Below are 13,760 nucleotides of genomic sequence, written 5' to 3'. Positions count from 1 at the left end.
GGCTCACCGCAACCTCCACCTCCCGGGTTCAAGCGAGTCTCCTGCCTCAGCCTCATGAGTAGCTGGGATTATAGGCATGCGCCACCATGCCCTGCTAATTTTTGTATTTTTAGTAGAGACAGGGTTTCTCCATGTTGGTCAGGCTGGTCTCAAACTCCTGACCTCAGGTGATCCACCCGCCTCAGCCTCCCAAAGTGCTGGGATTACGGGTGTGAGCCACTGCGCCCGGCCAGGATTCCCTATTTAATAAATGGTGCTGGGAGAACTGGGTAGGCATATGCAGAAAATTGAAACTATATCCCTTCCTTACATCTTACACAAAAATTAACTCAAGATGGATTAAAGACTTAAATGTAAAACCCAAAACTATAAAAACCCCAGAAAAAAATCTAGGCAATACCATTCAGAACATAGGCATGGGCAAAGATTTCACGACAAAAACGCCAAAAGCAATTGCAGCAAAAGCCAAAATTGACAAATGAGATCTAATTAAACTAAAGAGCTTCTGCACAGCAAAAGAAACTATCATCAGAGTGAACAGACAACCTACAGAACGGGAGAAAATTTTTGCAATCGGAGCATCTGACAAAGGTCTAATATCCAGAGTCTACAAGGAACTTAAACAAATTTACAAGAAAAAACCAACCCCATTAAAAAGTGGGCAAAGGACATGAACAGACACTTCTCAAAAGAAGACATTCATGCAGCCAACAAACATGAAAAAAAGCTCAGCATCACTCATCATTAGAGAAACGCACATCAAAACCACAATGAGATACCACCTCACGTCAGAATGGCGATTATTAAAAAGTCCAGAAACAACAGATGCCAGTGAGGTTGCAGAGATAAAGGAATGCTTTTACACTGGTGGACTGTAAATTAGTTCAACCATTGTGGAAGACAGTGTGGTGATTCCTCAAAGATCTAGAGGCAGAAATACCATTTGACCCAGCAGTCCCCTTACTGGGTAAATACACAAAGGAATAGATACATTATAAATATTGCTTTCTGTTTCAAGATTTTAAAATTTGAAATAATTTTCATTTCCATATGTTTTCTCCTAATTACTATTCAGAGGCATACAGACATTAAATAGTTGTACAGGCAAAAAAAAAAATCATTCTATTATAAAGATATATGCATGCATATGTTCATTGCAGCACAATTCACAATAGCAAACACATGGAATCAACCCAAATGTCCATCAATGATTGACTGGATAAAGAAAATATGGTACATATACACCATGGAATACTATGCAGCCATAGAAAGGAACACAATCATGTCCTTTGCAGGGACATGGATAGAGCTGGAAGCCATTATCCTCAGCAAACTAACACAGGAACAGAAAACCAAACACCGCATGTTCTCACTTATAAGTGGGAGCTGAACAATGAGAACACATGAACACAAGGAGGGGAACAACATACACTGGGGCCCATCAAGGGGAGCAGTAGAAGGAGGGAGAGCATCAGGAAAAACAGCTAATGGATAGTGGGCTTAATAACCTAATAACCAAGGGGATGGGTTGATCTGTGCAGCAAACCACCATGTCACACGTTTAGCTATGTAACAAACCTGCACATCCTGCACATGTACCCCAGAACTTAAAAGCTGAAGGAAAAAAAAAATCTCTAGAATTGGCTCCAGAGTATTGCCTTATGCTGCTTAAACCCAGGAGGACTAAATTCACTCATACTTAGAAGGAATAAGAGTGGTAAGTGATAAATCTAGAGATTTATAAACTGATAAATTATAAATCTGTTCAGAAGATAGACTGCTCAGAAAAAAATTTCAGACTCTTCTCCTAACATAGGGGAAAAGCTGTTATTCTATAATAGCTTCTAATAATTGCTTACAATGTAATGCCTGGGCTTGAAATGTCAAAGTCGCCCTCCTGCAAAATATAGACAATCAACTACATTTCCGTATAAAAATCTACCTTTTCAATGTTCTTTGGATCAGAAATAGGAAAACCCCACACCTCATCAATTTTCACTGATAATCACATTAGTTTCTGGCACCTGGGATTTCCCTTTCTTTCTTTCCAGCTCTGTTATATTTCTTTCTTCTAATATTTTATCCAACTTTTCTGTATGGTTATAGAAGGCGAGGGGCCTGAATTATTTCTGTCTACCTCACTGCCAGAATAGAAAGTCTCTACAAAAAATTTCAAAAATTGTCCTTACCATCTAATATTATTAATAAATAAGAGTGAATTAATACTGTTCAGCCAAACAGTGTTTTCTTGTACTCAGTCTTCGTAGTCATGAATTCCATTTTCTCTTTCAGGAATATCACAATCTTCTTACGCTTCTCCCCTTTGCCTTTCACAGTAACAATAGGAATTTTTGACACAAGATAACCTTTTATAATATGACTAATTCTACCGTGCTGGTATACAGAGTGTAGTGCTCCCAGGGTTTGAAGACAGAACAAGATCAGTACAGTGGATGAGTTTAGTTATCTACAGAAATAACTCAGAAGCACAGTATAATAGAAACTGCAGAAGAATGAAGTTTAAAAAAACACCTGGTTTTTAATCCCAATTTACCACTATGCAGGTGACTTCAGGTAAGCTACTTAACTTTCCTCATCCTCATTATTTTTAAGAAGGTAACTCTATCCATCTGATAGGGTTATTGTAAGGTAACTCAGTAGATACTCAATAAATAGTAGATATTATTATCTTAAGAGTGTTTGTAAATGTTTTCTGATAAAAATCAGAGAAACCTACTCATTCACCAATTATTCTTAGGAAAACAGACTAGATATAGAGAAAGTTATGATTCAATTCAACCCAGTTTATTATCCTGTGACAAGGTACTGGTGCTTCCCACCAAAATGGGAATTGAATTTTGTTTTGTTATTTCATTTTAGTTATTGTTTGTTTAGTATATATTTAATCTCAGAGCACCTAAATCCCATTTATACGTTTGGGGAATTATCCTTTTTGTAAGTCTTGAAGGAAGGCAAAAGCTACCCTCCACTAATGCAAATTTGCCAGATATTCACTTTCCTGGTCTCCCTTGCAGGCTCTTCCAGTCAGATGAACCCTTATTCTCCCTCTCCCCCACTGGACTCTGACTTAGGAGTCAACAATGCAAAGAAATGAGGCCTTTAAGGAATGCATTCTGGTAGGAGTGGTAGTAACCCATTAAAACCAACAGATAAATTCTCTGGTTCTATTACAGCCTGTATAAAAATCTCTATCAAGACCATCAAATCTCCTTTGTTCTGAATGTATGCTCTCCAAAGAATATCTAAGTTGCAAATGTTGTTCTCTAGATACCCTAACATCAGAAAGGGCACTAACAAGTATTCCATACCCTGAAAAAGCAATAATCTAACCATAAATGAATACACTGAGGTTCTAATTTTTTAAATCAGTTTCTTAGAAGTGTGGCATGTGTGTCAGACCCCTACAGCCTCATCTCTTCCAGGAAACTGACAAATCAAGTGCCAGAACACCCAAAATAAGAACGAGATCCTGAAAACATGGGACCCACTAAGGTATAATTACCTGTGATGTTTTATGACTAGTCATTCATTTCACACACACACACATACACACACACCTTCTCATATAAACCATTACATGGCCTACAGTACTGTACAGAAGACTTTGCTGAAATACAAGTGACTATCTACCCTGTTCCATAAAACAGAAATACTGTATACCTTCAAGGTCCAAACACAGAGAAAAAGAGAAGGAGAAATGAGGACAGTGTCCGAGAAGAGAGAAATTCGGTTTTCTAAGTTCAGAAGATTAATTTTTACTCCTTCAGAAGATTTTGAAAAGCCGATCTCTACATCGATGTTTCTATTGTATTAGGCATTATTCTATTTAAATAAAACATAAAAGATTCCACATTTAGAACACTGGTAAATCTGATATTAACCAGAAATCCCTTCTACCTGAATTACACAATTTCTCAACTAAGCCTCCATTGCTTGCTACCCAGTCACAATTAAGGATGGGAATGAGAACACAGATAATATTTATTTTCCTAATTAAAAAAAAAGTCAAATGTACATCTTCAGAACTTCATTAAAATTACTTTCAAATTACTATTCCTGAGGTTTTATTTTAGGTACAAAATATTAATGTCAGAAAAATAGAAAAATTATTAATACATTGCAATGAAAAGGAAATAAATAACTTCTCCAAAGGAATGAAACTTACTTTGCTGATATTTTAATATACTGATATAGCACATGTTTTAAAAACATTAACTTAAGTATAGTAATGTCCAATAGATATTAAATCAGGGTACAATACTGGAATAGACTCATAATATATCTGATCCAATTTTTTACTTAGTCTCAGTTTCTTTTTATTTTTGGTTCCAGCATTTAAGTATTACATATTTGTACTCACTGCCCTTTCAAATGTATCAAAATTCAACAGACAAACCAAAAACAGAGCTTTGGCAAAGGCAGTATTGCTTAAAACCAACAAAGAACTCGTTTTACAATTCTGACCATATCTAGAACAAACAGGAATAACACAAATATCCTTTAGAATTCTTTTTAATATTTTTCCAGTTTTACTGAGGTATGATTGAACCAATATGCTTTGTAATTCTTATCAACAAATAACCACATTTAAGACATAGAAAAGCTATCACAAAAATGACTGATCTTTCCCTATCACTTCTTTCCTAATTTATCTCAGAAGCTAATTTTTTAAAATACTATTTATATTCACACAGACCTAAAATCATTCACCTTTCATAATAACCCACACTCCTTGTAAATTACCAGATTTAAATATGAAGCTACTTTCAAAAAACTGAATGGCATGGGAATTGGGTGGTGGGTGGCTTATAGACATTATTTGGATCCTGACACAAATAAACTACCTATAAAAGATGTTTGTGAGACAACTGGAGAATGTGAATATGAACTGGATAACTAAATAAAAATTTTTTGCTATTTTGGATATATAATATTATATAATTGGTTATATTAGGTCCTTATTTTTTAAGACATATAATATATATATACACACACACAAATACATATATTTAGAGGTGACATGACAACATCAGAATTTGAAATATTACCAGGAGACAAAAAGCAGTTATGGCAAAATGTTGATAATGTTTAAACTCAAGGAGGAATCATTATATTTTCATGTGTGTTTAAAATTTTTCATAGAAAGAAAGAATTAAAGGAGGAACAAAAGAAGAAATAAACCAGGGTTACCTTTTCCCAGTCAATTCAATTTGGCCCTTCTTATTGAAGATGAATTTAGAATCATTATATCCCCATCCATTCCATTTCATAACTTCTTGCCTAGTGAGAAGAAAATATATATAAGTGAGACCAATGCTAAACATCTTAAAACTGTACAGTATATCATTGATTATTAACTCACAATCATCTAAAATACCTTATGCCCACAAATATTGTATAAGGTTAAATAAAATTAGCACACATTAAAATGTCCATATACTAATATTTCTGAATATAGAATCACTCTGATGAGCAGCACCTGCTTCACAGAGGGCTACAACCAATAAATTTAATGCATTCAAAGGAAGAAATAAAAAGTTGCAAAAAGGAAGAAGATATGCTTAAAATATAAATGTCTCATTTTGTACATGTTATTGGGTTTACACTGTAGAATGACCTAAAAAGCTTTGCAATTAAAACTAAGGAAACAAAGTTTTACACATGAGAAAAAAATCATAATTATTAACCTTCTGCTACGATTTTTAAAAAAAGACCAATTTACCAAGTAGACTGACTAGTAGTAGACACAATAAAGTAGATTAAAAATCTCAGTGCTGGGTTTACATTCTAAATTCTTCAAATTCCATATAGCTACCAATCTCTACCTTGACCTACATATTGTAACAGTTAATGGCCATACTCACTTTCAATATTTCAAAATAACATGCTATTTTTAATTTCCAAAATACCAATATTTCATAACATGCTATTTTTAATTTGCAAAACACCAATATTTCATAGTTGTAAAAATCCTTATTTATCAAAATCAATGGTTGAATCATTCAATTTTGCACATCATGTAAGAATAGATAGGTCTGGACCTGTACAAAACATAAAAAGCAATCATGCTGAAGTATTGCATCACTTTTTATTACATGTTTTGGCATAGTACCCTAGTTTGATCTTGGCTACTGAAATAAATTGGTGGTGAGTCTTCTTACTACAAATTCAACTATGCAGTTTATGGTGCAAATAACTTAACAAAAACCCTTTTCTATCTTGAAAGTTATTTGCTGCATTAAAATTTCAAAATAAAGATGCACGCATTAGAAAGTGTTCTCTTATTCTCTGTAATTCTCAAGAAAGAAGAAAATAACAACTGACAAGCAAGTTTTTTTATTACAATCATAATTCTTGTTCTAGTTCAAAGGCTTTTCAAACAAATGAACATGAACATAATACAACTAAGCCAGATACAGGTAATTAATTATGAGCTGAAATCTCCATCTATACATAAAATTAAGACAAAGAAACTAGGAATGCTCTGTTTACAACTATGATTTGCTATTAATAAAAGCTACAGTCCCTCTACAAAAACTTCAAAATATCTGAAGAGTATCAATCCAGAGACTGGATTTGTAGATTAGTTATAAACTAACACCAAATATTTTTTCTAATCCCATAACATTCCTACCTCATTGCAGAGAGAGATTTTGGAACGGAGCTTTTGGAAAAATCTCTATGGAGAAACATCACGACTAATGTTACCAGTGACACACACATTTTCTTAAGATTTTACTTTTTTTTTTTTTGGTGCCAAAACTTGGGATTGAACCATAAGATTTTCACATTCTAAAAACAGATTAGGATATTTTCCACTTTGCTTTTTTTCATGATTAAATTATCTTCACTTTTATGAAGTATAATTTACTTAGTATTTTCTTATATTTCAATAATCAGAAGGATAAATGTATATTTTAATACATTAACATCTTTAATGGCTTATAATATGCATAGATTTTATGTGATTGCATTTTATTAGTGAATTTCAACATTTATTATAATTCTGTTCTCTACAAAATAGTAATTTGGTATTACACAAAATAAATGCAAAAATCTCAAGGCAAGGCACAAGGAAATCATTTCAGTACAGAGGTTGAATCTGGCATGTTTATGTAGCTTAACAACGAAAATCATTTTCCTTAAAATTATCCCTAGAATTTAAAAACTTATCCCCAGATGGCCCCAAAGTAAAAAGCTAAACTTGGTCACATGGGTTCATTCTTAGCACTTCATGAGGAAATGAATCAAGATAGCAGGAAAGATCTGCTGTTATACACTATAAAATGAAGGGATTTACATCCTGAAGAGTCTTTGGCCTTAAATTTTCAAGTTGGGTAATATTCTAAAGAACTTCCAAATTTTCAACTGTAGGTACCTTTTTCTCTCTTTTCATCCCAGTCATAAAATTGGGCTTATGAAATGGACTTTACCATATTTATATCAACTTTTGGAGTCTTCTCAGAAGTTGAATGTAGGCATTTGGAATGCATTTATACCCAAAACAGGATTATGCATAAATCATATACAATTAAAATCTAGATTACCCCCAAACCAATCTTCTGATATCTTCAAGTACCCCAGGTGTTAAATAAAAAACAGGTAAATTTCCCAGGCTTCTAGTTTTAAACTTTTATGTACACATATTCTAACCCCATCCCCACCAAATTACTAGTATATACTCTGATAGTTAAATATAACTATATGATTAAATTTTTTAATAACTTCTTATACATAGAAGTATTTTGAACGGTATTACAGCATAACATTTTAAAATTAGAGTAAAACTTTATATAGTCACAGAATTTGAAAACTAAAAAGATCCTCAGAACCCATCCAGTTCAATTGCTCATTTTTCAGATAAAGAAACTGCCCAGAGAAGCATCCCTGGTCACGCAGCTAAGTTAGTTGTGAGTATCCAAAGGCTGACTTCCAGTCTCATAATTCTTCCTCTTCAGAGAGGCAATAATATCTGAAACCCATCTAAGTCAGGCTGTCAGATAACCAGAATATTTGAAAGAACTCATTTTTTGATTTACATCAATACTGTTTCAAGAAACTATTACATGTTACTATAGATTGAGTATCCTTTATCCAAAATGCTTGGGACCAGAAGTGTTTCAGATTTCAGATATTTTTCAGATTCTGGAATATTTACATATACACAATGAGATTTCTTGGGGATGGGACCCAAGTCTAAACATAAAATTTATTTATGTTTCATATACATCTTATCACATAGCCTGAAGGTAATTTTATACAATATTTTTAATGGTTTTGTGCATGAAACAGAGTTTGCATACACTGAACTATCAGGAAGCAAAGGAATCACTATCTCATGACAGTGTTCAAAAAGTTTCCAATGTTGGAACATTGTGGATTTTAGATTTTCAAATTAAGGATGCTCACCCTGTGTTGTAGTAATTCTTCTGCACTTCAGCTGAAGGAAAACATTTAAAAATCAAGGGATATGTTTGTGTCAGAAGCCAAATTCCCTATACTTCCGATAGTGTAATGAATTCTGCCATTCAGAATAACCCCAAAGTACTGCAAGCACTAAAATGAAGAATGATTAAAGAATCATCAACTTTCCATAAGATTCAAATAAAAGAATCCAATTCTCAACTAACCCCAGAGGTCAATTAACCAGTATGATCTCAGACATTCCAATTCTTAGAGCTAACTATACCAAATTTAACATCTTTCAAAAAACAAGACCGGGCCAGGCACAGTGGCTCACACCTGTAATCCTAGCACTTTGGGAGGCCAAGGTGGGCAGATCACAAGGTCAGGAGATCAAGACCATCCTGGCTAATATAGTGAAACCCCATCTCTACTACAAATTAAAAAAAAAAATTAGCTGGGTGTAGTGGCGCATGCCTGTAGTCCCAGGTGCTCAGGAGGCTGAGGCAGGAGAATCGCTTGAACCTGGGAGGCGGAGGTGGCAGTGAGCCGAGATCACACCACTGCACTCCAGGCTGGGTGACAGAACAAGACTCCGTCTCAAAAAAACAAAACAAAACAAAAAAAAACCCTCCTCCTGCCGAAAGAATAGTTGGCTTGATTTTACTGCATAAAAAAATAAATGTTTTACACATTTACACATCTAACCACAGTACCAAACTGAAAAAGCAAGTATTAGCTGGTGTAACAAAAGAAAATGGAGGCATAAAATAGCATCCTATATGCACAAGGTGGCAGTATTCTCCCATGATATGTACATGATGTACATATTCAGCATTTTGCATTTTTCAGGGCTGTTATTATACAATCTTTAGGTGAAATATTTAGATTTAGCCTTACTATTATAAAAACCATAAAGAGTTTCTTTATTCTTAAAATGGGAAATTTTCACTTTGAAGTCTCTGTTTACAGACTGGTTGTCACACTACTATTCCTCTACTAGTAATAAACTGCAAACATCCTGATATATATGCATGGTTTCTACATTGCTATTTCTAATCATAATAGTCATAATATTTTTCACTAGAAAATAAGGAAAAGGAAAAAATGATTTTGGCTACTTTCATTCTGGGTTAACAACTGTAAAAGTTCAGCTATCTAATAACTTTTATAAAAGTTTTTCTGATAAAATTCCAATAATCAAAATTCTAATAAAAGATGCTTCACTCTTCAGATCAATATTTCCTCTTGCCCTGATATAAAACTCACAAAGCTACCTTCATCTGATAATATTGTGATTTCCTAGAGAGAAAAAAAAAAGGACAACTGAAATGGCCAAAAGGATCTACAGTTTTACTTTTCATCATGAATTAGTTTATTGGCTTGTTAATTAACTTTGGTAACTGGTGAGGGCAGTCAGACTATCTAAATGTAATCAACTTGAGGACTCTGATAAGATCATGTTTCTAGATGGGTCAACAAGGTATAATCTGTGTCCTCTAGACAGTGAGCCTTCTTGAACATTATCATGCAACACTTTAAACTTCAACAAGAATTTCAATCTTCCCTCAATATCCCCATTGTAAGTTTCTCAGCTCTAGTTGCCAGAATAAAAATGTGACCCTGTGATATAATAAGTTATTAATCAATGTGATAATTCTTAGCAGTGTGATAATGCAAAGTGGCTTAAATATGAGATTTGAGAACACAGAAAGTTGTTAACAAGAACATGAAGAAAAGGAATCCACATGCATACTGGTAAGCCACTCCACAGAGCAATCATGTAGTAAGCTTTCATAGGTAATGCCAATTCTATGACCCAACTATACAACTCCTGGGTATATATTGCATAGGAAATTCATATACAATTCCATAAGGGAACACATTTGATATATTCCCTGGAGCATTGTTTGTAAGAGTAGCTGGAGGCATCACTAGAGAAGCAGGTAAGTAATGTGGAAAATGCATTCCATGAAATATTAATGCAGCAATCAAAAGCAGTAAGTTGAATAGATATGCATATAGAAACACGATGAAATGTTTAAAACAGTGGTAAACACAAAGGAGAAACAATAAAATCCATAGTAAAACAGCATTTAAGGGAATTAAAAATATACACACTAAATAACACTGCATATTTCACAAAACACAAAATATTATATATAATATATCCAGATATATTATTTATAATGCATTCATCATATATGTATATTATATACATTATACACACACACACACACACACACACGAACCTTCATAGGCACCCATGGGATAGGCAGATGAAATTAGTAATCAGAGATGGAGGAAAATTAGAGGCCTCACACAAATACCATACATTAAAAATGTATGTTACCACAACTCTCTGAACCTGAGGCAAATACGCTGCTCAGCCTTTGAATCTCAGTGCAGTTTCTCTCTGTTCTGAGAAAATAATTCTTTCTTCCATATATACACAGAACTTTCATGATGGTTTATTATAAAATCTATTGGGCTTCTTAGCAATAGCTACAAATTTTTTTGAATGATAGAATTCCATTATGAATTAAACAGCTTCAACTATATGGTAAACCAAATATACATTTAACTACCTACAGTCAACTTTTTATAGTCCACAAGAAACTAGCACTCTAAAAAACTTTTTAAGGCCAAGCACAATGACCTGTAATCCCACCACTTTGGGAGGCCAAGGTGGGAGGATAACTTGAGCCTTGAAGTTCAAAATAAGCCTGAGCAATACAGCGGGACCCCTAATTCTCAAAAATAAAATAAAATAAAAGCCAGGTGTGGTGGTGCAAGCCTGTAATCCCAGCTACTACAAGGCCAAGGCAGAAGGATCCCTTGAGCTCAAGAGTTCAAGGTTGCAGTGAGCCATGATTGCCACTGCACTCCAGCCTGGGTGACAGAGTGAGGTCCTGTCTCAAAAAAAAGAAAAGAAAGAAACCTTTTAAAACTTGAATTCAAGGCTCAAAAACTGCGTCCCAAAGGTCCAATTCCTACTACATTTATCATGAATAAATGAGTGAAAGAAAAAGTAATATACAGGTATAAAGGGGAAAAATTCTAAACAGAGGCACAGGAAAGGGGCGGGGGGCAAGAAGGGCAAATAAGGCAAGACCAGCTTTACCTCACATTGACAGAATACTCTGGGCAGTCACTAATCACTTCAGGTTCTTGGGGTGCCATTCTTTACTCCCACACTTCTCTCACACACTACACCATAATCTACCAATTAGAAACTTGTTACTGTTTGAATGACGCATTTGAAAATGGAAATACACACTATTAGTCATTCATACATTTAGTAGTGTATGTTACAAATATTTTGTGGTAAGGGCAGGTGTGTACCCACATATCCACTCACACAAGCTTGGTACCTGCCATTCTGGAAGCCTGGAAAGAAACAACCATCCTACCCTTTACCCTCAGGTGTTGATCTACGTAATGAGGAAAACAATCCAAATCTGCATCAGGAGGTTGTCATAGCAAAGGACAAAGAGAAAAGGATATATCCTTCACTTGGACTCTTGTGTTCCCTGGACTGTACTTTAAATTTCATGGTTTTTCCCTTCATTGTCCACTTGTAATCTACCCAATATGGCAATTTTGGCAACCAACCCCAGACTGTCTCTACCACCAACTGGGAAAATGCCAATTCACTTTCATTGCTCACTCCATGCTTGTTAGTAATTAAAAAAGGAATTGTATCACAAGCTTATTATACTGACCAATCCATAAGTGACCAAAGCCATTTCTGGTAGAGCCTTGCATTTCTGTAGAAACTACAAAACTGAACACAGACAAAGAAAATACAAATGTCTCCAAAAATCTATATGCCATTTTAGCATTGAAACCAAGCCTAAGTTCCCTTCCCCTGCTGTCCTTTGGGGACAGACCAACAATACCCTTGGCATGACCCTAAAAATACCAAGACTGAAATCCATACCGGCTTAATGTACACAGTATTCTTGTTGTAAACCGTAATTGTTGGGCAACCCCCTTTGGGTTCCCTCCCATTGTATGGGAGCTCCGTTTTCACTCTATTAAATCTTGCAACTGCATACTCTTCTGGTCTGTGTTTGTTATGGCTCCAGCTGTGCTTTCACTTGCCATCCACCACTGTTGTTTGCCGCCATCGCAGACCCGCCGCTGATGCTGACTTCCACCCCTCCAGATCCAGCAGGGTGTCCACTGTGCTCCTGATCCAGCGAGGCACCCATTGCCACTCCCGATCGGGCTAAAGGCTTGCCATTGTTCCTGCACAGCTAAGTGCCCAAGTTCATCCTAATCAAGCTGAACACTAGTCGCTGGGTTCCACGGTTCTGTTCCATGACCCATGGCTTCTAATAGAGCTATAACACTCACCACATGGCCCAAGATTCCATTCCTTGGAATCCGTGAGGCCAAGAACCCCAGGTCAGAGAACAAGAGGCTTGCTGCCATCTTGGAAGTGGCCGCCAACATCTTGGGAGCTCTAGGAGCAAGGACACCCTGGTAACATTTTGGCAACCACGAAGGGACTCTCCAAAGCGGTGAGTAATATTGGACTACTTTCGCTTGCTATCCTTCCTTAGAATCAGAGGAAAATACAGGGTGCTTGTCGGCCAGTTAAAAAAACGATTAGCGTGGCTGCCAGACTTAAGACTCAGATGTGAGGCTATCTGGGAAAAGGCTTTCTAACAACCCCCAAACCTTCTGGGTTGGGAGCATTGATCTGCCTGGAACCAGCTTGCGCTTTCAATTTTCCTGGGGAAGCCAAGGGCCAACTAGAGGCAGAAAGCTGTCGTCCCGAACTCCCAGCATTAGCCGGTTGACATCATGGTACAGCCAGAAGTCTCTACTCAACAGTCACCCATGCGTGCACCCCACCTTTCCTTCTGACCCATACCTCCTGGGTCCTGACCATGACTTTCTTGAAAGTGTAGCCCCAAAATTCTCCTTACCTCTGAATCTACTTCCTCTGATCCCTGCCTCCTAGATACTAATGGTTCAGACTTTCATTTCCTTTCCCACGTATTGGAGCAAGTTGTATCTCCAAAGGGATCTAATGAAGCTCTATGCTGTGTCCTTAGGCATCTAGGCTATCAACCCAGTGAGTCTTGTCCCTCGTGTCCCTCCCAATTTAGCCACACAGCTCTCGACCGTTATGTGGGACCTGTTCCCCACCAACTTGCCAGGGCCCCAAGTTTGTAAATGGCTAGGAGGACTGCTCTCCCATTGTGTAAGATGCTCTCCTCCCCCGATTTCTACCCAGCTTATCCCTCTGCAATACAATCTCCAAGCCTTGGCTCCTTGGCCAGGGCCTTAGAACTGATGACCCAGTACTATGGGTCTACAAC

General features: G+C 36.2%; 1 protein-coding gene across 4 annotated transcripts in view; it reads right to left on the bottom strand.

Annotated features, from left to right (window-relative positions):
- AGPS (alkylglycerone phosphate synthase) overlaps positions 1-13,760 on the bottom strand; it is a 151,062-nt gene that overhangs the window by 118,265 nt on the left and 19,037 nt on the right. For all 4 annotated transcript variants that reach the window (NM_003659.4, XM_047446105.1, XM_011512041.3 and 1 more), the window contains exon 2: positions 5,212-5,301. In NM_003659.4, the coding sequence (NP_003650.1) occupies positions 5,212-5,301 (90 nt within the window). The remainder of the gene's footprint in view (positions 1-5,211; positions 5,302-13,760) is intronic.

Source organism: Homo sapiens, chromosome 2 (genome assembly GCF_000001405.40).
Source record: "Homo sapiens chromosome 2, GRCh38.p14 Primary Assembly".
Lineage (NCBI taxonomy): Eukaryota > Metazoa > Chordata > Mammalia > Primates > Hominidae > Homo > Homo sapiens.
The sequence above is the reverse complement of the archived record's forward strand: the minus strand, read 5'-3'. Positions and strand labels throughout refer to the sequence as shown.